Source organism: Homo sapiens, chromosome 4 (genome assembly GCF_000001405.40).
Source record: "Homo sapiens chromosome 4, GRCh38.p14 Primary Assembly".
NCBI classification, from domain to species: domain Eukaryota; kingdom Metazoa; phylum Chordata; class Mammalia; order Primates; family Hominidae; genus Homo; species Homo sapiens.
The window spans coordinates 155,354,116-155,381,941 of NC_000004.12; the positions used below are offsets into that span (position 1 = coordinate 155,354,116).

Consider the following 27,826-nt stretch of genomic DNA (forward strand, 5'->3'; position numbering starts at 1 on the left):
AGGCACGCCCCCTGGAGGGCTGCTCCCTTCACTACTGACGCATTATCGTGCAGTTCACCTTGGAAAATATTTTTCTTCTAAATCTATTTTTAGTATTGAACAGCACACTGGAGTTTTTGTCCAGAAGTTTGACTTTAGAAGATAAGAAATAACTGAGCGTATTACAAGCAGGAGTTAGAGGAAGAGACTCAGTACAGAAGAGACAGGAACAAAAGTTCACCTCCATTCAATGGGAAAGGATACAGATCAAGAGTTCAGGTAGGGGTTGGACTTGAAGATACTTATAAAATTCAAGAGAGAAAAGAGGAAAATTGAAGGCTAACTAGTGTCTAATGATCCTTTATCTTGTCGTGCCTTTTTTTTTTTTTTTGAGACAGAGTCTCTGTCACCTAGGCTGGAGTACAGTGGCACGATCTCAGCTAACTGCAACCTCCGCCTCCCGGGTTCAAGTGATCCTGCCACCTCAGCCTCCTGAGTAGCTGGGATTACAGGTGCCCACCACCATCCCTGGCTAATTTTTGTATTTTTAGTAGAGATGGGGTTTCACCACATTGCCCAGGCTGGTGTCGAACTCCAGACCTCAAGGAATCCCATCTGCCTTGGCCTCCCAAAGTGCTGGGATTACAGGCATGAGCCACAGTACCTGGCCTTCTTGGTTAAGTTCTAAATGAAATCAACTTTTAAAAGTGAATTAGGTGCTCATAAACAATAATAACTTCATAATCAGCAGGAACAAAGCTATCCTATACATATACAAAATTAAAATCTGTTTTCATGTAAAACAGTTATATCAAACTAAAATGTATAAAGTAAAACAGAAGTAAAACCGGAAATCATTTCTTTAATATACAAGTTATTTTGCCATTTAAAAAGCTGATTTAGAAAAGTTATATATTCAGGGATATTTTACTGAAATAAAAATCCAAAACATTTTTACTTCTATATGTCAGAATACCTGTTCATTTTGGATCCTTAAGTTTTCACTTTCAATTCTTTTTATTCTGTGCATTTCATGTAAATACACATTTTTCTTTTCTAACCACTCCTATAAGAACAAGAAAAAGGTCATATAATATTTAAAATTTCTTAAGTGAATTAGAATTCTTTATATTAACATTTTCTCTGAAATTCACATGTACAATTTTCTAAAGTATACTATTCTACTCTAAAAAAGACAAAAAAAGACTTTTAGAATTGTGAATAAATTAATACAATCTTTTTCCTATGTACGCCTAACAACATCTCAGGAAAGAAAAAATTTAATAACTTTTTGTTCATAATAACTCCTTTTGTTCATATAAACTTCAAGAAGAAAAAAATGAAAACATATATAGACTTTACAATGTTTTGGCTTGTGCTGTATTTCTATAAATTGCAATGGCATATTCTTTCTTTAAAAACAACTATGGTCAGTTATGCAAAGTGTGGAAGCAAATAATTTAGTAAAATATGATTACTCATGTATTAAAAGGAAACTCTTTCTCAATAAATTTAAGTATTAAACCATCATTTTCTATCAGGATTACTTTATTCTTTATAAACAGTGTAGGCTTATGAAAGTGATCATTCTTCTTCTCTTAAAAATATTTTCCTTTTTTACCTGATAAACAGCTGCCCTTATGTTATCTGCTCTATCAGGTTCTATGCTCTGTTTCTGTGAAGGTTTTTGGTCCAAGACTTTTAAAGTCCCTAAATAGTGAGAAGAGGTAGTTGTCGATGGAGTTCTCCTTTTAGAACTAGATTTCTTCAAAAACTCAGAGGTCATTAATCTGAAAAGATCCAAATGAATCAAGACAAAATATTACAATTGCATTTGGTAGAAGAGAGATCTGTTAGAATATGCACGTATAATATTTGAAAACTGGCCAGGCATGATGGCTCACACCTGTAATCCCAGCACTTTGGAAGGCCAAAGTGGGTGGATGACTTGAGCTCATCCTGTTGGGCTGTTGACCAGCCTGGGCAACATGGTGAAACCCTGTCTCTACCAAAAATACAAAAAATTAGCTGGCGTGGTGGCACATGCCTGTAGTCATAGCTACCCTGGAGGCTGAGGTGGGAGGATAGCTTGAGCCCAGGAGGCAGAGGTTGCAGTGAGCAGAGATCATGCCACTGAACTCCAGCCTGAGCAACAGAGTGAGACTCCATCTCAAAAAAAAAATTGGAAACTACATTATAATTTAACAAATTATAATTACTTTGAAAATGATGTAGGTAAAATGTACAGTCTTAGTATACAAAGAATATTAAATTATGTAGAAGGGGACATAACTTAAATATGTCCCCTTCAACATAATTTAAATTTTATAACTTTAAGTTATATAGCTTTAAAATGATTGCTCTTTTTAAATATTTGTAATTAGAAACTTAAGAAATATGGACCACTTCTCAAGTTACATGGAAAAAACAATACAGTAGGTTATAATCACTCTTTTAATATTTTCTTTCATCATTTTGTTACATGAAGCATTCCAAATATAAAATTAGAAAGAATAGTACTATCTATATCAGGGATTGGTGGGAAAATTTGGCCAGCCATTGGTTTTGATATACAAAGTTTATTGCACCATAGCTGTAATCATTCATGTTAAGTTTTGCCTGTGGCTGCTTTCCTGTTAAAATAGCAGAAATGAGTAGTTCCAATACAGACTGTATCGCCTACAAAGCCTAAAATATGCACTAACTGGCCATTTACAGAAAAAGCTTGCTAGCTCTGTTTTATTTGATTAATGATAATTTGACTAACGATAATTTTAAAGATTCAGAAGGTTTTTGATTAGCACTTATGAGTTAGGCATTCATTATCATTGGTGTGAATGAAGCTATACAGATAATCATTTTAATAAACCTACTTAGTTCATAGATTCTGAAGGCTTTCAGTACAATTTCTCATGTTAGACAATGATACTTGATAATGAATAAGTATCATTGCTAGACTTCAGCTTTATTACCATTTTATATTGCTTGTCTCAGGAAAAGTAGGAGAAAGAAGCTCTATTCCAGAAGCAGTCTGGAGCACAAAGAATCCCTAATCACTGACATTAAGAAAGAAGAAAAATATTCCTAGGACGATCCTGGAGAGCAAAGGTATTGCATAAACATTCCAGGCACTAAAACAATCAGTAATAGACTTACTTTTTATAAATTACTTTATTTCAAATAATATCATCAACCAAGGGGTTTTATCATGAAGTTAACTACTTTCATTTTATGAAATGGAAATAAAAAGAAAATACAGTAACACCAAATGAAATTTACTTTATGAAAGTTAAATTAAAACTAGCTTTGCTAGAATGCAAGCCCATAAATGACAAATATTGGTAACTTTATTACCTGGCAGATGCACTGGATGCTCTATTATTTGTTGACTTTTTATTCTTTATATTTCTATCTTCAATTGTTTTCTATTAAACAGAAAATGCCAAAGATGATTTATTCATGACAACTATCCTTTTTAGGCTTAGAAGCCAAACTGCCAGTAAATCACTATTCTTTAAGCATCTACTATGTGTCAAACACAGTAGAAATTGGGAGCAAATCAGTGAATAAAATGCCCTTAAGAATATTAAATTCTAGAGACGGATGACCAAAAATAAATATATAAGCAAACATGGCTCATGAAGGACATAAAATAGTGTGCAGTGACAGAGAATGACTAGAGTGGGGCTGAGGAGCTGCTTTAAAGAAGTTGGTCAGGGAAGGCTGTCCTGAGGGGCTGACATCAGAGCTAAGAGTGCAAAGGGCCCACCGAAAGGTCTATGAAAGAAAGAAACAGCAAGTGGGTAAAAGCCTGAGAAGGGACGGAACCTGTTATCTCTGAAAAACAGAAAGAGGTGAATGGAGCTGAAGCATAGTGAATGGCAGGGAAAGCGGAGGAAGACGTGGTCAGGGAAGAACCAGGTGAGATCACTAGGCAGCGATGAGGAGTCTGGATGGAATTCTTGTGATGAGAAACCAACAAAAAGACTTTAATGGAGAATGATTATATTTCTGTTTAGAAAAGGTCATTCAGTAGAGAGTAAGAATGAGGCCAAGGGTCCAGTCAAAAGAAACAAGTTACAACCTTACTTGTTACATATGAAATGCCTGTTCTAATTTAGAATTGCCTCTATTAGACATTCTACAATCCTGTCTATAAACTCCGGAATATCCTTTCTTCTTTTAAGGAACAACTTTTCTACTTTACACAGACTGATGGGTGCTAGTGGTAAAGTGAGAGCACAGACATAATAAACACATCCCTAACTTAGCAGTAGTGTTTTTTTCCTAAAGAAATTAGCTAAGGATGATATACCTGGAACATGGCTTAATGAACCTCCTTCATCAATTTTAAGAAAAGCTTGTATTTTATGTTATAAAAGTATTGCTCAAACACAAATTTTCAGCTAGCCCTGTTTTCTTCCGCTGATAATAAACACACAGAGCTGCTAGCTAATTGCAGCTACAAGAGATAATGACAAATTCAGGAGAAACAAAGACTGAAAATGCTACACCATAAATTTTTAAAGTATAGCACTCAGGCACAATTTAATGTAGGGACAAGTAATCCTACATATTACATATCTGTTTCTTAAGGTTATAATAATAATGTTCCCCTCAACAACAACAACAAAAAACAAATAACCCCACTAAAAAGAGGGCAAAAAACATGAATAGACTTTTTGAAAAGAAGACATACAAGTGGCCAAGAAACATGAAAAAAAATGTTCACCATCACTAATCATCAGAGAAACACAAATTAAAACCACAGTGAGATATATTATACTAGTCAGAATATTTAGCTATTATTAAAAAGTTAAAAAAGTAACAGATGTTGGTGAGAACACAGAGAAAAGGGAATGCTTGTATACTCTTGGTAAGAATGTAAATTAGTACAATCTTTATGGAAAATAGTTTGGGGATTTCTTAAGGAACTAAATATAGAACTACCACTCAATCCAGCAACCCCACTGTGAGTATCTGCCAAAAGGAAAATAAATCATTATATAAAAAAGATACCTGCACTCATGTTTATCACACCACTAGTCACAATAGCAAAGATATGGAATCAACCTAAGTGTACATCAACATATGATTGTATAAAGAAAATGTGTATACACACACACACACACACACACACACACACACACACAGGAATACTATTCAGCCACACAGAAAAGAAATAATATCTTTTACAACATGGATGGAACTGGAGGCTATTACCTTAAGTGAAATAAATCAGAAACAGAAAGTCAAATGGTACATGTTCTCACTTACAAGTCAGAGCTAAATAATGTGTACACATGTATATAGGGTATGGAATAATAGATAATGGAGACTAGGAAAGGTGAGAGGGAGGTGCGGGATGAGAAATTACTTAATGGGTACAATGTACATTTTAGTTTATACTAAAAGTCTGACTTTACCACTACACAATATATCCATGTAACAAAAAAGCACTTGTAACCATTAAATTTACATGAATTGAAAAAAGAAAAAACAAAGCAACTTCATCACCTCTGGAGGTTGCCAGGGCACCAGTTCATTATTTTGAAAATTAGGAAATAAAGGCAAAGGATCAAATACGAATAATAATACTAATGTTCCTGATGATAACCATCTATTTTAAAGAAGCACAGATGTTGATAAACTGTTGATAAACATTTCTTTAAGATTTTTGTTAAAATTGTTAACACGTTTTAAAACAATATCCAAAAACATAACTCTAATTTAAAATCTCAGAAATTATTCCAGACAGTTATATTTTTAAAATATGAAGACCTATGGAAATATATACACTATGAGTATGCATTTCTGAGACATTTAAAAGTATATTATGATCACACACCTCTGATAATTTTTAAACACTGGGTTTCATTATATTCACTACAAACTTTCCTTAAAGTTAAATTTTATTGGATTAAGTAAGAACCATGTGACAATACAATATCACTATCAAAAGATAAATTTTCCACTGGTAATTCAGAAGTATATAACACAGAAGATAAAATTTCTTAAAGTTCTATTTCAAGTTTTAAGCTGTAGTATGAAAAGTATGAATTTTTACAAATACCTTTGAAGATGCTGTTGCACTGGTAGATATTAAGATACTCTGAGATTTAGATAGTAGTGGATCAACTGTTCTGTCATCATCCATAATCAGTTCCGCTTTTGCCTTTTCTTCTTCAAGGTCATCAGCAGTCACTTGACTTTCCTTGGATTTCTCAACTGCAGTAGTCACATGGTCTGCTGAAAATGAATTCTCTTTATTTTCATCTGATTTCAAGGAATTATGGTTTTCAGTGATTTCTTCATTTGGATCTATTTTGAGACAGAGTAATAGCATTAAAACCCCCTTCTGAATTAATAAGGTAAATACTTGATTCATTTGCTTTCTTTTAAATGAGGACTATCTATAAACTCTTTTTTCTTGCAAAATATGAAGAAAAGTTATCATATTAAACTTGCATAAACTCTTTTCGAAAGTGATTTACAAAAAAAAATAGTCTAGGCTTAACTAATGAAGCACTTAACAAATCTAGTACTTAGAAAAATAGCATATTAATAAACAGAATGGAATAACTACCCTAAAACAACGACATGTCAAAAGAGCTTGTTGATATACAAACCAAGTAAGTGAGATGACAATATTTGTTTAACTCTAAAGCCTGAGTTTCTTAGCTGGAACAACACGCTGCATAAGAAGGTGTCACACCTCTCTAGGCTACTACAGTTACTAGTAGTACAATTGTTGAATTGTATAGCTGCAGAAAGAACCAAGAATTAATGCAATTTTACACAGTCTCTAGTGAGTTTCATCTCACCAAGATGTAGTACTTCCTCTGATACCATAAGGGGCAATAAAGACAAGCCTATTGCTTATCCTCTCAGTGCTCCAAGAAACAGGCTCAAGCTCTGGCATAAGAAGATTCAGTTTTGCATTTATAGAATTGCTTCTACTATTCTGATTTTACCACATTTTGGAATGGGATCACCAACTTTCAGTTCTACCAACGTCCACCTTGCAGCTAAACCTGAATCTTTACTGTGAAAAGTCTTAATTCTGTTGGTTTCATTATGACCATTTTTTTGGAATTTGTTTTGAGGTAACATGGGCTTAAAATCACTCAATTCACTATTGGATTCTTTGGAGCTGTTAATCTGTTCAGTGAAAAGAACAAGAACTTTGGAACTCAAGATTTAACTATGGTTCCATCACTGACCTTGGGTATGTTTCCCTAAGTCACTGCACTTCAGCTTTTCTCATCTGTAAAATGACAAAAATGATACTACATAGTAAGCACTAAAATGTTCATTACACATCTCAGACCTAGAAATAGCTATGTCTTTTAGGTTTCATTAAGCTACGTATCACTAAGAAAAGAAATTATGTTAACAATTCACATATCACACCAAGTGCTTACTATGGTATTGCTGTAAATGCTTTACATGTTTAATTCTTACAACACCCTATAAGGCAAATTACTCTTATTTTACCCATTTTAAAGATCAACATACAGGGTCAGAAAGGTTAGTTACTTTGCTTATGTAATTGTGCCTGTATTGGAATCTAGCTTAGTCTCACTTTAAAATTCCACCTAGCTATTATGTTGTCCTGCAGAATATCACAGCAACACATACATAACAGTAGTTTACCTTAAGTGCTCACTCCACTTGGGCTATTAACTAGGCTAATGGCTAAAATGCACTATATCACTTAATTTTCACAATAACCTTATGAGACAAATAATATAACTTAGGGAAATTGAGGCACTGAGAGATTAAGTTCTGCATCCAAAATCACAGTTAGTTAACTACATAGTCAGGATTAAAACTCAAACACATAAAAACATATATTTCTCTTATAACTATACAAAGTATTATTTCTCTTACAAACAGGAGTCTAAGTAGTACAGAGTTCACATATAAGATATAATTATTAGATATAACCACCTTTTCCAGATGCGTTTCCCTCAGATCCTGGTGAAAAAGAATCTCCAAGAATTTGTTTAAGTGATGATGATGCTAGACTTGTTAAGCATGAATCCTGTTTTCGCAAAAAAAAATACATTTGCCACATAAGTTTAATAATTAACATTTATGGGAACAATAGCATTATTAAAACTACAAATTGAAATAGTGCATAACTCTGAAATCTGCATTATTTAGGCATTTGTTGCTGAAACGCAAAGTGTGACAAGCCAATGGAGGTAAGCATGCTTTACTTTCAAGCCTTGATGTCTTGGTCATTAAAAGGGGTCACTGAAAGAGTTATTCAAGTTCTTTAACTACCACCACCTCTCTATTTATTTTTTACCAATTTTCAAAACTCCTATTACTTAATAATCACATTTCTTATAAATATTTAAGGCCAAGATTTGATTTTGATAGCTCTTCCTACAATTATCCTTTGAAGGAAAGCATAAAGAAGACAGGTAAAATACTTTAGTTCCAAGCAAATATTACTAGTTATCCAAATGAAAGCATTTAATAAAATCAAGTAAGCCGCTACTTCCAAATATTTTAGATAGGAAAAGCACATAGATTGCATGCACTTGAGTTTTCCTCAAAATTCTGAAAATTCTATCTGATATGAAATAATTATATTTGTCTATCTAAGGTAAACATTTCTTCATAGAATCATCTAGCCTAAAGGTAATGATATTACAATGTAGGAAGTTCAACTTTGTTGTACAAATACTTTAATTTTCTTTCTCCGCAGTATTTTATGGGTGCAAAGGAAATTATATGTCAAAAGCAATGGAGAGAAAACATTTGAGAAAATGGAAGAAGTGCTGAGACACTGGAGTCTACCCTGAAAGATAAAGCTTCACCTGAGGAGATCTGCAAATTAGTAGCTTTTTGCCAGAAGGCATTCTCCAGTCTATGCAGCTCAAGTAATAGAAGGCTACAGCCTTGGTGGAATGACTTGAGGGAACAGGGGACTGAGTCTAGGACCATCAGATCAGCCAATAAGTATGTGGAAAATAGCAGAGGACAGTGACCACAAAATCTGCATATGAAATTCACCAAAAACCTTTACCACCTCTATTTGTGGCATAAGGGAGACCTCAGAGGATCCTGTAAAAGCATAGAAGCTAGAAACTGAAAAGAATTAAGCAGAAATTTCAGCTGATATCCACTGCAGGAGAAACAGGATTGGGAATTTGTGTCCAGCCATGATATCCACTTGCTAGAAAATATGTTTGAAGGGACATAAAAGAATACAGAATCTCTACAAAATATCATTCAGAACACCCGGTATTCAATCAAAAGTCACTAAAGAAACAGAAAATGGTGACACTTATTTAAAAAACAAAATAAAAAAACAGAGAATGGTCAATAGGAACCAACCCAGAGATGACTCACGTTTTAGAGTTAGCAGACAAGGACTTTAAAATAGCTAATATAAATATGTTCAAGCACTTTGGGGAAAATATATGCATGATGGCTGAAAAGATGGGGGATTTTATATTAAAAAACAGAAAAAATACCAATAGAAAATCTGAAGTTGAACACCACAATAAGTGAAATAAAAAATTCACCTGGAAAACACACATACTTTGCAACTGCAAATGGAACTCTCACGACATACCCTTTTGCTGGGCCATTAAAACAAAACAAAATAATTTAATACAATTTGAAATCATAAAAGATACATTCTCCGGACCACAATCTGTAAACGTGAAGACTAAGTAATACAAGTTATTCAATCTTAAAAACAAAGAGGAAAAAAGATTTAAGAAATATAAACAGAATCTCAGAGATCAGTGAGATATAGCACAAATTTCAATGCATGTGTAACTACAGTACCAAAAGGAGAGGATGAAAAATAGGGTGGGAAATAACAATCTTCCCATTTCACAGACAGTATCAGCTTATAGGTTTGGAAAGCTCAACAAACGTCAAGCAGAATAAACATAAAGAAAGCTAGACCCAGGCACCATGCAGTCAAATTGCTGTAATCAAAAGATAAAAACCACAATCTTGAGTAAAATTCCTGACAGCATTCAGACAAAATCAACACATTATATAGAGAGGACAATGAAATGAATGATTACAAGAGAGGCCAATAAAAATGGAAACCTATAAAGAGCTGGAGGTAGAAGAAGGCAACTGTTAGACAAGAAGAATACAATCACATCAACCACCATTTGAAAACAAAGATGAGACAAATACTTTTAGAAAAGCAAAGACTGAGAAAAATCCATCACTAGTAAACCTGTATTACAAGAAATGTAAAATAAGTTTGTAAGACTGACAGGACACAAAATGGTAATCTGAATCTACAGGAAGAAATGAAGATCCCTAGAAATTGTATATGTATTTATAGATATGTAATATCTATAAATAGATTATATAGATGTTATATATCTATATAATATATAAGAATAGAATATATATTACCTATATATAGATATTGTCTACAAATATATATTATCTATATTTAGCAATAGAATGTTATCTATAATATATACAATATATAATACAGTAGATATATAATATATATTTATTCTAGCCTTCTTTAATTTTTTAAAAGTCTAATACAAAAAACTGAAAGGGCTCTTTAAGAAAAAGTTATAACTCTATTGTGGGGATTATAGGATATGTAGATATAATATATGACAATAGCACAATGGATGAGGGAGTATATGGAACTATATTATTCCAAGGTTTCTAGATCAAATGTGAAACAATACAATATCAATTCTAAATAGATTGTGATAATTTTCAGATATATTCTGTAATCCACTGATCAACTCTGAGAAATACAATGCAAACAAATATAGATAAAAGGTCAATAATAATAAAAAACTAAAAGATTCATGATTATCTCCTCAAAAAAAGGCAAGAAAGGAGTAACAGAGAAACAACAATAAAAACAATAATTTTAAAAAACAGATAAATAGAAAATAAAGAGCAACAAATTGCTCCTAAATCCAATCATAGCAGTATTTACATTAAATGGACAAAACATTCATAAATGGACTAAACACTACATTAAAAGGCATAGATTGTCAGACTTAATAAAAAAGTGACACCAAACTCTTATTGTAAGAGATTCACTTACATGAAAAGACAGAATTAGTTTGAAAGAAAAAAGATAGAAAGCATATACCATGGAAACACTTGTCATAAGAAAGCTGAAGTATTACACAAAACAATCTATAAGATAAGGAAAGGAATATTACCAGAGGTAGAGACGTTTCATAATGCTCAAAACATAATAATAATAAATGTGTATGTGCCTGATAACAAAGTTATAAAATACTGACAGAACTAAAGAGAAGTATAAACAAACCCACAAACATAACTGGATATTTTAATACCCCTAAGTTGGTAACGGGTAAACAAATTGGATGAAAAATCAGTAAGGATAAAGAAGATCTGAATGATATTACCAACCATGTTGACCAAACTTAAATTATACAACATTATATTCAACACCTGGAGAACACATCTACTTTGCAGATGCAAATGAGACTTTCACAAGATACACTAAAGCTGGGCCATTTAGAAATAATAATAATAATTTTTAAAAATTTGAAATCATGTAAGATACATTCTCTAGACTACAACAAAATTAACTTATAATTAACATCAAAAGTATATCTAGAGAAAAAACAAGTATTTGAAAATAAAATAAATCACCATAAAATAACCAACTGGTCAAAAAAGAGATCACAATGATCACTATATATTATATGTATCGAAAAATCACTATGTACCCCATGTACAATTATTATTTTTCAACTAAAAAAATAAATTTTTAAAACAGGAGATCACAAGGGAAGTTAAAATATATATTTAAAGAAATGATAATAAAAATAAAAGGCATCAAAAAATCGGGGCCACTAAAGCAGTACAAAGAAGAAAGTTTACACCTTTCAACAGGTTTAGCAGAAATCACGAAAATCTTAAAAATGAATGAGAAAATTTTCAAATCTAAAGATAAGCAAATTAAACCAAAAGAAAGTAAAAGAGGCCAGGCGCCGTGGCTCACGCCTGTAATCCCAACACCTTGGGAGGCCGAGGTGGGTGGATCACGATGTCAGGAGATCGAGACCATCCTGGCTAACGCGGTGAAACCCCGTCTCTACTAAAAATACAAAAATTAGCCAGGCATGGTGGTGGGTGCCTGTAGTCCCAGCTACTCGGGAGGCTGAAGCAGGAGAATGGAGTGAACCTGGGAGGCAGAGCTTGCAGTGAGCTGGGATTGCACCACTGCACTCCAGCCTGGGCGATAGAACGAGACTCTGTCTCAAAAAAAAAAAAAGAAAGTAAAAGAAATAATACTGAATAATACTGAAATAATACTGAAAATCAATTAAACAAACAATAGAGAAAATTATTAGGTTGGTGCAAAATGATTGCGGTTTTTGTCATTGAAAGTAATGGCCAAAACTGCAATTACTTTTGCACCAACATATGACAAAGCCGAAGTGGTTCTTAAAAACGTTTAATAAAACTAAGCAATGCCTATCAAGATTTAGCACGAAAGACACAAAACACAAATTATATATGTTAGAAATAAAAATGAAATGTCATGATAATCCTAGTCATCAAAAGAATGAGGGACTATCGTGAACAACTCTGTTTATAAACTCAACATATCAGATGAAATGGACAAACTTCTTGATAGACACAATTACCAAACTGGCAAAACAGAAAATGTGAGTACTGAAATACCTATTTAAAAAATCAAATGTAATGCCAAAGATGTCTCCACACAGAAAATTCCAGGCCCAGATAATTGTACTGGTGAATCCTCTCATTTAAGAAAATAATGATACCAAACTTTTATAAAATGAAGAAAAGACACTCCCCAACTCATTTGATACCCAAGCCTGATGGTAACATTATAAGAAAAAAATTACAGACCAATAGACTTCATAAATATAGATGCAAACCTTAACACAATTTTAACAAATCACATCCCACAATAAAATATCACACCATGACTAACCAGAGTTTATCCCGGGAATGCTAGGTTTAACATACGAACATTAATGCCCCAAAATTCATGTTCATCCAGAACCTCAAAATACGACTTTCTTAGGAAATAAGGTGTTTACAGCTTTAAATAGATAAGATGAGGACACACTCAATTAGGGTGGGCCCTAAATCCAATGCCTGGTGTCTTTTTTTAAGAGAAAGAAGAGACACAGACATGCAGAGAAAACACAGGGAAGAAGGCCACATGGGATGAAGGCAGAGAAGGGAATGATGCAGCTACAAGCCAGCTACAAGCCAAGGAATGCCATGGACTGCTGGCAACCACTAGAAAGAAGCTGGAAGAGGCAAGGAAGGATTCTTCCGTGATGCCTTCAGAGGAAAATGGCCCTGCAAACACCTTGATCTTGGACTTCTGACCTCCAGAACTAAGAGAATACATTTCTGTTGTTTTAAGTTAACCAGTTTGTGGCAATTTGTTACAGCAGCTACAAGAAACTAGCACAATATTCAATGGATCAGATAATTTTCTTAAATATAAAGTATTTGCTTGGGTTTCTTCTTCTGGTTTTCAGAACAAATTAAGAAACAGCATGGTGGTGTCAGTTAGGCGTATATCAAATTGTCAGCTTTACTGGTAAAGCTCAACTGCAGAACAAGATTTGAATTGGTAGCCTATTGTGCTTCCTAATACTTCCAGTCTGAATTAGGGGGATTCCCCCATTTAGTCATTGCACAAAAGAGCTCCTCTCAGCACCTTCTGCCTCACCTCCCAGAGAGCAGATCCTTAAGCACCAACACTGCAGACAAGCGATGAGAAAAAGAAAGAAGCTTGGCCAGGTGGCATGCAGTTCCCTAATCTGCCCAAGCAGATTATGGGGAAGAAATGTTCTTCCTGTACTTTTCCCTTCTGAAATGTTCAGAAGGGACAGTTTGCTTCTCATAGTGAAATACAAAGAGAAAAACGAAGTGTTCTCCCTTAATAACAATGCATAGTAAATTCCCTGATGGAAACCTGAAAGGCCACATTTAATGCTATTGGAACATAACCCAAAGAACACAGAAGAGTGCCATGAACATTCAACACACATTTGTTGAGTGAATAAAATCAAATAAATAAAATGACACTGACTATATTGTTCTTAGCCATAAATTACATAATTCAAAGATACATAAATTTAAAAAATTATTAAAGATAAACACTATTATATAGATTCAGAAAAGCAACACTTTTTGACATTTTACTTTCTCTAAAACTGGATAAACTCTACAATCACTGGTGTGTTATAGTTTAATTGGATGCATTTCCTTCTTCCTTAGTGGTATGTAAAATAATGCTACGTCTTACAATTGATGCAGTTTTAGACTCGGTGGAATACAGTGTATTTTTAAAAATTATTTCCTTATCAGTTGCAGAAGAAAGTATGTAAAACACACACACACGCACACAAATTCATTCTCTCCTTCTCTTTTTCATAATCAGATAAAAAAGCATAAATTCAAGAACACAATTCAACAGTTTAGTGGTAGTGCTAACCTCAGGATCAAGGTTTTCAGAGAATGCTTTTTTCTCAGCTTCTAATTGTATGCCATTCGGCGTTGGAAGGGAAGAAGGTGCAGAATGTAACTCCAATTCTTCACTGAGGGCAGTTTCTTTATCTTCTAGTCCATCCTTCTCCTCCATGTGACTTTTCTTTTTCAACATACTCCTTGGCCGAGGTGATGGTTTAAAGTGATCATCTGTGTCAAGGCTGTTGTTTTCTGCTGAAAAATAAAATGCTTAAAGTGTGTGTATAAAAAAATGACCATGGCTTTATCTATCTCTCTGGGTGCTACCATACTTCCCTCCTGTGCCTATGCCCCTTTGTTCTCTGTCCTGAAGAGTCCAGATGAAGCCCACAACTCTTCTCTATACAGAGCTCTAGTAAGGCACAAATAAATGATGGTTAATAATCAGGCCGGACGCGGTGGCTCACGCCTGTGATCCCGACATGTTGGGAGCGGTGACTCACGCCTGTAATCCCAGCACGTTGGGAGGCCGAGGTGGGCAGATCATGAGGTCAGGAGTTCGAGACCAGCCTGGCTAACACGGTGAAACCCTGTCTCTACTAAAAATACAAAAAAATTAGCCGGGCTTAGTAGCGCGTGCCTGTAATCCCAGCTACTCAGGAGACTGAGGCAGGAGGATTGCTTGAACCCAGGAGTCTGAGGTTGCAGTGAGCCGAGATCGAGATCACACCACTGCACTCCAGCCTGGGTAATAAGAGCAAAAATCCATCTAAAAAAAAAAAAAAAACCAAACAACAACAACAACAAAAAAAAAACAAAGTAAAGAAACAGTTGTCATCCTGAAAGTAACCAGTCACAAGAAGTTAACTCTTCAACATTGTGAACTCTTATAATATTAAAAAAAAAATGTTAAAAATAAAAAAACAAAACAAAATCTTGCCCCAGTTTCTACCACTATAAAATGAGGAGGCTCATCCATCAAGCCTTTGAGTACCAAGCCCTGTACACGTTACTAAACCTCATAATCAACAAAGCGGCAATGGACCTGTCCAGGTACTTTACAGGTTGATTTTTCTAAACAAAATTACAAGACTAGATTACTAAGATTATAAGTGCTATTATAAGGACAAAGATGATGATGTTGGCACTCAAGGGATAGGAGTGCTAACTCTCATTAGAGGAAGGAATCTTTTATGAGTTAATTGTTCTGAGTCCATAAAACTTCTTTAGCATTTATTAAAATTTCACTCTTTCCATTACTTCTAAGTTTAAATCAAGAATCAAATGCTGATTTGCATCCAGTATTCGAAACAATGGGAAGACTTTCCATGTATATATTTTTTGCCTGCATTTTACCTGCTATACATATTTATGTTTCTATTGTTCTACAAATGCATTTTTCTCAACTTCAAAATTGGTCTAATTAACATCTTCCTCCCATTTACCTAAAAATGGGCTTATGGATTCTGCCAGAAGATTCCACAACCATACCAAATTGGTATTATTATAAGTAGCTGACAATTTTAGCTACATCCTAAACTCCAGCCAAATGTTCAACCCCAAATCCAAGGGCTCTAGATTCCTCCCTCTATTATCCCCTAAATCCAGAGTATCAATATATCCTATCAATTCTAATTGCCAAATATCTCATTTATTCCACTTTCTACATCCCTGCTGTCGGGTCCTTATCCACTCTTTCCTAGATCACTGCTTCCATGATATTTACAAAATCCAAATCAGATCACATCACTCCTTTCTACAAAATTATTCAATGGCTCCCCATGATCCAATCCTACAGAATAAAAGCTTAACTGCCTTTAAACAACATAAAACGGATTTTATGGTTTTGTCCTTCACTGCCTTATCTACAGCCATTTTGTCATCTGTGTTTCTGAAATGCTGGGCTAACAGTTGTCATGCACACATACCACAATCCCTCCAATCCCTCCTGCTACCATACCTTTACCTAAGCTGATCCCCCTGCCTAGAATATCCACTTCCTGCTTCTCCTCCTGACAAATGCTTGCATGTCTTTTGAGCCTCAGTTTAAGCAGAATATTATATAATGCCTGAAAGAAGGTGTTGAGTCAATTTTTTTTATTATTGTGGTAAGAACAAACATGAGATCTACCTTCTTAATACATTCAGTGCAAAAGACAGTACTGTTAACTATAGGCACAATGTACAGCAGATCTCTAGAACTTACGCATCCCGCATGACTGATACTTTATACCTGCTGAGCATGTTTATAAACAAACGCTAAATAATAAAATGAATAATCAGAACATTTATAGAGTGCTAAATTTATGCCAGTACTATTCTAAGCACTTCAAATATGTGAACTCATTTAATTGCCTCAAACTCCTAGAGGCAGGCAACTATTATCCCGTTTTTAAAGATGAATAAAATGAGAACAAAGAGGTCTCATGCCCAAAGTCACAAACTCTAGCAGGCTGCAGATCTCAGATTAAAGGAGAAGCATCCTGACTCCAAAGTTCATGATTTCAGTCATGTTAGTATTAAAATAAAAACATATCCTGTGAAAAATACTTTCACTTTATAGAGCAACTGTCACTTCAGTAGTGACTATAAAGTCTGGTTATTATACTTTTTACAAAAGACAAGCAAGGACAGAGAAAACCTTCAAGCTCTAATAGTTTCATAAAGCATTACTTGCTACTCAGCAATATCTCACCACATTAAAAACATTGAGTTCCAAACCTGTACAGAAAAAAAAAAAGTCAAAGAATTTAGAGGATAAACTCATGAACCATATTCCCTCTTTCAAAGATAAATCATTCATATATTAATTTATTCATTTAAATACTTATTATATATGCCAGATATTATCTTAGGAACACTAGCCTCAATTTTTACTTTTCAACCTGAAGAACCTGAGAATGACAACTTTAATATATTTTCTACAAAAATTCCACTTCCAGAAGTACTGTCAAGTTCCCAAAAAGAAAAAAAAATGCCTATACTTTAAGAAAAGCGCTTTTTTTGGTAATCAATGTATACAATTACCTATTTAGGTAATTATTTTTATATTACACGTACTGAATATAACATTGCATATATAAGTAGAGCATTTAGGATCCTGATGCCACCTTGTGGTTAAAATACAGTATTTTCTTATTCATTGTAACCCACCACAGGTTTTTTTTTTTTTTAAGGTATGAAATAGGTGGATTATTGCTTTCCTGATTATCTACCATAAACTTCTAATTATATACATCCACCTGTCTCAGACAAATTTTTAGTTGCTATATATGCTCGCATTTTCTTAATAACGAAGTTCAATTATGTTCCTCTTCTCTCCAGCATTGATTTCACTCACTATACTTAGAAGGTACATTTTAACAAGTTAATTGTTTCATTATGCATCTGTTTGCATTTTTGTAGTTTTTTATAGTTTATGAGATGCACTTCAATAAACTCTCACAATTTTGCAGGAATAGAAAGAGGGTTATTTTTAGCTTCCTCATCATGAGGATACTGAAGCTTAACTTATTTGCTGAAGTCATATATAATATACAGAGGCCTTTCCCCCAGTGTCCTGGATATTATTCTAGTGTTCTTTGCTCTGCTTACATCCTTTGCTCATTTCAAAGTTAATGAGATTGTGGGGTCAGGAAGAAAGGAGCAGTTCCCCAATACATGCCTGAAATAAAGTTTTGTCTGACGTTACCACTGGTATCTAATATGCAAAGTATGAAATATTTACCAGCACTGTATTTACTGATGATATGCAAGGAGATTTTTATGAAGGTTAACATCAACTAATAATTCCTTTATAAAATACAAAGAATGAAAAACAAAAAATCCTTAACCTTGCATATACAAGTTCATGAATGGTGGCCCAGGGTATGTGACAGGACTTGGTCTCCGTTTCATTCTATCTTTGTTCCTTTATGCTTAAAATTCAGTAAAATTGTGGGCAGAACTAACTGTAATCCCAGATCACACCAGGAACTTTCCTTTGGAAAACTGAATCTTAGTAGATTTTCATAGGCAATACAGAGATCAAATGGAGATTCTCTTAAGGAGTGCCTGGATGCTTCAACAAACAACAGCAGCAATAACATAACTCATCCTTCAAATATACAAATGTCAAGAAAATTTTCTGGCACAATGTTGGTATGGCAAAGACTGTTAGAAGGATTAGTCTCAATATTGCTGTAACTCTAATCTTTGGAGTGTGAGAGGGATTAGACAGCATTCCATTCCAGTTCCACACCTACAAACAAAACTGAAGCTCACAGGTCTAGGTGTCTGGAGATCCACAGCTATGGATGCTATGGATGACTAAAGGTGCTTTGGCTTTGTGCTTTGGCTTTCTATCAGGCAACAGCCTAGATGCAAGACAAAATACAACAGGTCTGTAAAATTGAAGTTAGACAAAATACAACAGGTCTGTAAAATTGAAGTTAGACAAAATACAACAGGTCTGTAAAATGGAAGTTAAGTCTGTCTTTTTTTCTTAAATATATACTAGCTACCATATAAAAATTTTGGGACTGATTATCTTAAAATAAACTTCCAAGAAATGCAATTACAGTAATCCTAACAAATTACCTGAAGATGTGCTTTTAATTGAAAGAATTCTGGGTTTAGGTTTCATTTTTATTTTGTCTTTTTCAAATTCCTCATCCTTATTTTGAGATTCAGAGAAAGATTTTACAACAATGTCTTCACACCCATCAGGTGCCATTTCCTCTTCATTTTTGATGGCACACACTGGCTCATCTTTGGTTATGTTACCGTTTGATTTATTGGTTTTCAAAAACAATAGTTTTGAAGGATTCTTTTCTTCATCATCTGATATATGAAAGTCATTCATTTTTTTATTAACTGAATTTTCATCTGCTGAAGTGTCAGAAAAATCACCTAAAGAAACTGAAAAATGGAAAAGAAAAATGTTTTCAACAGTATTTTTAAAAATTGTCAAGGTTACGTTAACTTAATCAAAGTTTACCTTAAAAGCTACAAACAAAATTCTAACAATGAATAGGCACAAATGTATTTTATAAATAGACTTGCAGCTCTAAAAACACAGCTAACTCAGGCACGTCTCATTAACATTTATGAAATAAAAATTCCAATTTCATTAATTTATTCAAAATGTATTTATTGTGTTGTCTGTAGGGTACCAAACAACCAAACACTGTTTGCTCTGGAAAAAGCCATCCAAAGGTCCCTAACAATCAGTCATGTAGCATTTAAATTAGATTATGGACTGTAAAACTTTTATTTGCAAATTACTTCTTCATGTAAAATCAAGAACATTTGTAAATGGAAGAATTTAATTAGTAATTACTAATTATATTTTTTCCATAAAAATTTTGGAACTACAATTCCATCCACACCAGAATATTAGATTTACTAAGAATCATAAGAAATGCTAAGTTAACTATACAGCAGTGATTTAACTGTGGTTATTACTGGTTTTACAGAAATCAATTACAATTATTCACCAAATTTTAAAGAATAAAACACCAGGCCGGGTGCGGTGGCTCACACCTATAATCCCAGCACTTTGGGAGGCTGAGGCGGGCGGATCACAAGGTCAGGAGTTCGAGACCAGCCTGGCCGATGTGGTGAAACCCCATCTCTACTAAAAATACAAAAATTAGCCGGGCATGGTGGCGGGCACCTGTAGTCCCAGCTACTCAGGAGGCTGAAGGAGGAGAATCACTTGAACCTGGGAGGTGGAGGTTGCAGTGAGCCGAGATTGCACCACTGCACTCCAGCTTGAGCAACTGAGCGAGACTCCATCTCAAAAACAAAAACAAACAAACAAAAACACCAAGTTTAGAATTCTGTATGCTTATACCTGAAACTAAAATGTTAATATGTTTACATAGCTAAGAGAAACCAAATTATAATAGTACTGATATATGAAACACGAAGAGTCTGTGGTTTTTAAATTTACCCCTTATCACAGCCAAAAAAAATCTGATTTATAGCAAGCTTTATAAAAGCACTTCTAATGTGCACCGAAGTTTAGTTCTGTGGGACTAGTTACTAACTAGCTGTAGCACCTCCTAGGGTTGATCTTAAAGATGAACCTGTCTTCTTCAATGTGGTTTACCACTGGCAGCCATCCTTTTACTGCAAACCTGCCATCAATTAATTTATATTTTCGTATACACATTCAGAAAACAAAACAACAATAAAAAAAGAAAATCATACAACTTCCTGAAAATTAAGAGTGGCTTTCTACTAATTAAAAAGTTGAAAATCTAAAATTAGTGAATGCTTAGGTATTATTTTAACATACGTGATTGAGGGGATGGGTGGTTGGGGGGCTGGCTAAATACAAAACTAAGGAAGCAAAAAGAAGAAAAGTGGTTCACGTTTCCATACTGTCACATACCAATCTCATCACTGTCAAAGTCATCTGAGTATTCAGAACTCCTTTGTCTGGCTGAGCGAGCTGTAATTGCTCTTATTAGCTCATCCTGAAATGAGATACTGAAATCAATTTCCATCCAAACATGGAGGTATCATATTCACAAGTAATTCTTTAAACAAACAATGCTTGATTAACGACTGCTTTCAAACTTAGGTTTCATTCATCTAACAAATATTTCCTGCAAGCTCACTTTATGCCATGTACCCACTTTACGCCTCATACTCAATGCAGAGCATCACAGACAAGAGCCCTTCCTCATGGAGCTCGCAGTTTAACTAGAGGAGACACACATTATGGAACAAATTAATTGCAGGTTATAATTAGAGCTGGAGGGTAACAAATAAGAAGGGGCTCAATTTAGATTATAATTTATTAAAAACTGGTATTTTGAAAGAAATTGGTATTTTTAAGAGCTTTTGTCTCGGCATATTTCAGAAATGGATGCAATCAATATTGCAAACTTAGAGGCTGAGTTCAAAATTGCAGTGACTCAACAGAAAAAAAAACTTAAACATTATGTTACAACAGAAAAAAAAGTTTTTATATAAAAATGGCAATTTAAGGTTGCGATTCAACTTTTAACTTAGTAGGAAACTAGTATTGAGGCTACTTTGGTAGTCTTAAAACCATATAGGGGAGTTTGTAATACTGGATGGAGCCCAAACATGATCATGTGCAAAACCTCAAAAGTAATATAAGATTTACCCCTGCTTTATATAGGACTGTTCTAGAATCACCAATTTCAACCCATCTAATACAGTGTTTACACTGTGAAATGATTCCAAATAAAAATACTTTACCTGGAAAGTAGTTCTTTTGGTAACTTTTGGACTCTTTGTATATGCCAAAGTGGTGCTAAAAACTTCATCAGACATAGTGTATTTTTTCTCGTTACCTTTATAAAATAGCTAATTATTAGAATTCAACTTCTGATAGTAGCTGAAATATACAAAACAAATCAGACTTCGCATGCTTCAGAATTTATTTTATTACATTTGATTCTACTCTCCCCACAAAGGTCAAAGAAAAGCATCTGATATGAACATTGGGCTACATCTTCACTTAAAAAGGTTCTTGTAAAGAAATAGCAAATTCTCATAACAAGCTTGTTTAAAAAAATTCAAATGGAAGTTATCCTAAAATAGTTTTGCAACTACTTAAAAAGTCTGCAAATAAATGATTACAAGTTAATACGACAAAATGCTGCCAATTAAAATAGAACACCTTATTTTTCACCTCTCTTCTAAAGTATAACATTGCCTTCAAAATAAGTCACGTCTTATTTAAAAGGCCATCAAAAGGATCGTCGGCGTAAAAATTATGAGCACCACCACCAAAAAAAAAATGTATCTATATATTTGCATACAGCGCTATTCAAAGAAAAAGATCGTAATGCTAACCCGCAAACAGCCAGCGAGATGTATTGCAAGCCAATTTTTCCTCTCACAAAAGTGTTAAAGAGAGCCAGACAAAACGACGAAGCTTTCGCGATGAGCCGCATTAAAATCGCGGTTTCCCGTACTCGGAGCAGAGGCCTGGCAGGGCCGCCCATAGCGTTGTGCGCCCCGGGTTCCGTTCCCTACCAGGCCAGGTGACGTCCGGGTGCTCGCCGCTCCTCACCGCGCCGTATGCTGAGCACCAGCGAACGCCAGGCCCGTGCACGTCCAAGCGCGGTCTCTGTCCGGATCCCCCATGGCCCCCAGGTCCCGCTTTCTGTTCCCGGCCCCGGACGCCCGCGGCCAGTTCTCCGCGACCCTGAGAATCAAGAGCCAAGCATCGGGTAGGAGCTGCTCACCTTGGTCTGGGCCTGGCGGCGCCCGCAGAGCCGGTCCTGGACCGAGCGAGGAGGAGGGGCTAATAACAGAGGCGGAGGGCGGTTGCTAGGAAACAGCGTCTTCGGGAGGAAGTGACTTCCCCACCGCCGGGTCTCTCGGGTACCCAACACCGCTCTTCGGCCCAACGTGTCGCTGGGGCAACCACCCAGACGAAGGAAGTGACATCACCTTCCTGGGTCTTTGGAGAGGGGCTCATTATTGGTCGCTTGTGTGCATGTGCTGTTGCCTAGGAGACAGGACCCGCCCAACTCCCACCCAGATAGCCTTACTCTTGCCAATAGAGTAAGGGTCCTTATCTGCACGTGTTGCAAATAAAGCACATTCGTCGTTTTGCCACAGTTAGGACGTGAAGTTCTCTGAATCGAAGTACGGTGTCAGTGGATGGGACAGAATAGTACGGTAGTGAGTTTGCAGAACCCTGTTTCCGACTGCAGGTTTGAATCCTGGTACCCCTTTCCTACACACGTGATTGTCCCAAGTTAAGGTCTTTATGACTCAGTTTCTTCTTCTGGGGGAAAACAAAAGTGTACTAATAATAGACACCTGAAAGGTTGCTGTAAAATTGAATGAAATAATACAAGTGGAACACTTGGAAGAGTGCCTGGAATTGTATTCGATATTAGATATGCTCTTCATGCAACTAAGCCGCAAAGGGCCTGGAGAGACCTCAGCTCTTGTGGACACAACTGAAAGCCCATTTGACATCTTACTTGAATGTAAAACTCCCCCTCTTTGTATACTTAGTGAGTAATCTTATTCCAATCAAACCAAACAAAATGATCCACTAGGCTAAAAGAGCATGTGCTACTAAAGTAAACAAAATCAACATCATTTAATTCGCATAGGAAATTCTTAAAGCAAATAAAAACCAAAAACGTTTATTGAAAGTCTTTAAAATAATATGAATTTTTACTATTTTTAATTTTTAAAAAGCTTAATCCTAGTTGAATTATCTGAATGAATTCATTGACTAGTAATTAAACTCATACCTGGTATTTTTTCCACATCTCTAAAATATGTTAATATTTCACTAATTCAATTTTGTATAAACAAATCACATTGAGATAGAAATTTAATAAATCAATGTATTGAAAAACTAAATGTGCATAACAAGAAATAAGAAATTTAGTAAAATACAATGCTGTATTAATCAGGGTTCTCTAGATGGACAGAACTAATAGTATATATATATTATATTATATATATTATATAATATATTATATATATAATATATATTATATAATATATTATATATATATGTCCACTCATCTGTATCCATTTATGAAGCTGAAAATGTACACCACCTCTACACACACATACCCAGAATAGAAAATGCTCCCTATTTTCTATTAACTCATGGCACTACTGTTGAACCCTTCCAGGTTCACCTCATGCTCCTGGAACCTCCTTTCCACTGTAAAACATTCTCTCACTTTTTCCTCTATAATCGCATTCTTATCTTAGCTAAGCAAAACTATTTTCTGAATAAACTATCTCCCTGAGGGCTTTTCAAATAGGGACTGCTGTAGAAGGAAGATTTCTAAGTTCTCCTAGGTCCTCACATACTCAGTGACTGCTCTCCTATTACTCCAAACCCTTCCTCCTCACAAGCCAATATTCTATGTTCTATTTCTCAGTTTCTGTCATCAATAGATATATAGGCCCTTCTCCCACATTCACTGAATATCTACAGCCAACCTATCCAATACCTGAGATCACACCAAGGTATGGTGTGGCCATGTTCCATTCAATAGAATTCTTTGCTCAATACTCCAAGACTTTCACTTGTCCATACCCCTAATTGTGGGGCTCCGTACTGGAAGTCTTAAACTGTAATACTCCACTCCAAAAGGCCCATGGCTTCCTTTTTTAGTTATTCTTCTCTTGTTATTTCTATTTAGGAACTCATCAAGACATCTAGACTCTTTTTTTTTTTTTTTACTTTTTCTTTCTTTCTTTTTTTTTTAATGCATGTATCTCATCTAAGATGTCCAGACTCTTGAGCTTTTCACATCTTCCCCCAATTTATCAGTTGCTCTCTTTGCTTCCTGCTTCCCTTTCCTAGCTAGCCCAAGTCCCACAATGTAGCTTATGGAGTTCTTTCTTCAGCACTTTCAACTTTCTCACTTCATCATTCCTCTGGGACACAAAACTTGTCCATTGATCATCCAAATTCTTTGACCCAACGTATTTCAGAGTAATAGTGCATCAATCCCAGCTTACAATTTTATTTTATTTTTAGAGACAGGATCTCACTTTTTTTGCCCACTACTGGGCTCAAGCGATCCTCCTGCCTCCATCTCCCCAAGTGCTGGGATTACAGCCATGAGCCACCATGCCCGGCCCCAGCTCGCAACTTTCTGTGTGACCTCAGGTATGTTACTTAGACACTCCTAACCCCAGTTTGTGCATTCATAGGTTGGGATAATACCAACCCCTTCCAGTGCCATTTTAAAGATTTCATACAATACTTTGCACAAATACATATGATAAAATTATTTCCCCACTCAGGACAGTGCCCAGTAGAGCTGGTGAGTCAGTAACTGTGGTTCCCCCGCTTTCCCTCTCCTTACCAAGCTCACCTTCCACCTTCCCTCTAATTCCCGTCCCTATTCTCTTTCATGTGTTTACGTGCCTGTCTCTTCCACTAGAATCAGTTTCTTAACAGCAGCAGTTTCTCAAAATTGACAGTTTGAGCAGAATCATTCTTTGCTGTGGGGGCTGTCCTGTGCATAGTAGAATGGTCAGCAGCATCCCACTCTCCACCCCACTAGATGCCAGTAGCACCCTCCAAGCTGTGACAATCAAAAATATCTCTAGACATTGTCAAATATCCTCTGAAGGACAAAATCACCTCAATTGAAAACCACCGCACTAGAGTAATGGCTATCAAACTTTTTTGAACAAGACCTACAATAAGAAACATTTTGTACATGTATATACACACACAGTATGTGAAATAACTTCATCAAATCATTCTTTCCCTTACGGTGTCCCACTCTGATATGTTCTATTCTGTTTAAAAAACAATGACTAGACTGAGCCTCAACAAGAATAGTAATCTTATCTGTTTCATCTTTACACTCACAGTACCTAGGCAAATTTTGTGGCACACAAGAGGAACACAAATACTTGTTAAATTGCAATGAATAATCATTTCTGGTAGTCAATAAAGAGTTTTAGTTAACAGAAGAAAAACAAAAATTCAATTTGTTTTCTGGTTGTGCCGTGTTCAAAATTGAACACCACCCTTGGCAGCTTCCAGGAGAAAAAGTTCTTCGCCTTTGCTCTAAAATATTCTGTAGCCTAATCAATGTGAGCAAAAGGCAAAAATCTACTAAGGTATAAAATGTTTTTATATACTACATATATAATGTAGTATATATGTATACTGATTATACATATATGATGTATACATAGTATATATGTATACTGTACATATGTACATAGTATATATGTACACTGATTATATATATACTACATATGTAATGTAGTATATATGTATACATATATATGTATATATGATTATATATGTGTATATATATGTATATATAATCATATATATATACAACATATAATCATTTTATGATTATATACTACATAGATAATCATGTGTGCACTAGGCAGTGACCTAAAATGCCAATGACTATGGCCAAATTACTGACAGATACAAGCCTGTGACTTAAGCCAGCCACTCAGAAGAAATAAGCCTCCCTTTCCTTGGAGACATTTTCTAAAACTATAAAAATAAAAGGCAGAAATTAGTACATATTCATGTAACAACTACCCCCCTCCCTAAAATAACTTCTGTTGTATAAAACCCAAAGATTAAAAACTACAACATTGGATAGAAAAGCTGAGTCTTTCAATAAAAAGAGGAATGGGACAAATAAACTCAACATTTTTTTAAAAAAACACTCATCATTTTTCCTGAAAGTACAATAGTTCCTCCTTATCCAAGAGGGATCCATTTGGAGACCCCCCCAGTGCATGTGCTGAAACCATGGATAATACCAAATCCCATATATACTATGTTTTGTCCTATGCATACATACCCATGGTAAAGTTGAATTTATAAACTAGGCTCAGTAAAAGATAAATAACAGAATAATTATAACATACTGTAATAAAAGTTATATGAATGTAGCTCTTTTTCTCTCAAAATATCTTATTGTACCGTACCATAGGTAACTCACACTGTGGATAAAGGGGGACTACTGTACAACAATCTCACCATTTGCCAATATTCCCGAACCGGTTTTAGCTTTTCTCCTCCTCCCTTGTTTGTTTCTTTTGGTTCAATGCTGCTGATTATTCTCTAAGAGGCTCTTCTAGCTCCAATCACATTCTTATATCAACAGATAGGAGGTTCTTCAACTGACAGCTACACATCCACCCCTGCTACTTTCTTCATTGCCTCCACAGTTTCTATAAGGAAAAGGCAAAATCTTCATACCTGCAGAATTAGCGCCACATAGATGCTGCCAAAGGGTTTTCTGCCTGTGCCCTCTGGAGAGGTGACATCACATCCCCCACTGCACCAGGGCCCATTGAGCAACACTTGGAGCAACCAAGGGGTGCCACACCAGAATGTGGGGACCAGTGACTTCAGGGATTGCTGGGAAGCAAGCCCCAAGGTCCCCAGGGCACCCTAGGGCCTTCCTTGGAAACTGTACTGCCCTCAATGCTCTGGCAACATGGTCCTGTGATGAGAGTGCAGCCCAAGCAATTTACAAAACACCTTCCGGGTTGCTCTTTCATTGTCCTGGTGAAGAGTACAGTCCTGATCCATGTCTCCTGATTCACAACCTTTGTGTTCTCTCCCACACTTTATTTGTTAAAATATGGACAGGCTGAGAAGAATAAAAATTTCCCAAATCTTTAAGTTCTGCTTCCCTTTTGATAACTTCTGTCTCTAAATCATTCCTCTTTTCTTTCATTTTCCCATACACATTCAAGAGAATCAAGCTGCTCCTTCAATACTTTGCTTAGATATTTCTTCTAGCAAATTTCAGTCTCATTATTCATAAGTTCTGCCTTCCAGAAAACACTTGGGCATGAACACAATGCAGTCAAGTTCTTTGTCACTTTGTGACAAATGTCGCCTTTCCTCCAGTTTCCAATAACATGT

General features: G+C 35.3%; 1 protein-coding gene, 1 long non-coding RNA gene and 1 pseudogene across 7 annotated transcripts in view, besides 1 other annotated feature; 1 reads left to right on the forward strand and 2 right to left on the reverse strand.

Annotated features, from left to right (window-relative positions):
• The window catches only part of MAP9 (microtubule associated protein 9), a 34,308-nt gene extending 11,458 nt beyond the window's left edge, over positions 1-22,850 (reverse strand). The window contains exons 1-10 of one of the 6 annotated variants that reach the window (NM_001039580.2): positions 22,656-22,850; positions 21,661-21,799; positions 20,822-20,906; positions 19,021-19,341; positions 14,471-14,697; positions 7,933-8,026; positions 6,053-6,300; positions 3,334-3,404; positions 1,601-1,769; positions 956-1,045 (exon numbers count right to left, since the gene is read on the reverse strand). In NM_001039580.2, the coding sequence (NP_001034669.1) occupies positions 956-1,045; positions 1,601-1,769; positions 3,334-3,404; positions 6,053-6,300; positions 7,933-8,026; positions 14,471-14,697; positions 19,021-19,341; positions 20,822-20,906; positions 21,661-21,735 (1,380 nt within the window). In that variant the 5' untranslated portion in view covers positions 21,736-21,799; positions 22,656-22,850. Of the gene's footprint in view, positions 1-955; positions 1,046-1,600; positions 1,770-3,333; positions 3,405-6,052; positions 6,301-7,932; positions 8,027-14,470; positions 14,698-19,020; positions 19,342-20,821; positions 20,907-21,660; positions 21,800-22,260 lie in introns of all 6 variants that reach the window. The other 5 variants (XM_011532254.2, XM_017008616.2, XM_011532253.2 and 2 more) reach the window with 5 other exon arrangements.
• MAP9-AS1 (MAP9 antisense RNA 1) lies at positions 101-6,346 on the forward strand. The gene is made up of 3 exons (NR_125937.1): positions 101-258; positions 2,974-3,087; positions 6,170-6,346. It is a non-coding gene; the product is annotated as an MAP9 antisense RNA 1 (long non-coding RNA).
• Positions 22,303-22,732: an enhancer, noted in NCBI's record as "active region_22081". NCBI's record gives its function as "activates an Ori minimal core promoter by ATAC-STARR-seq in GM12878 lymphoblastoid cells {active_cell/tissue: GM12878}" and the evidence as "EXISTENCE:reporter gene assay evidence [ECO:0000049][PMID:35858748]".
• On the reverse strand, positions 26,927-27,124 carry YWHAEP4 (tyrosine 3-monooxygenase/tryptophan 5-monooxygenase activation protein epsilon pseudogene 4; annotated as a pseudogene).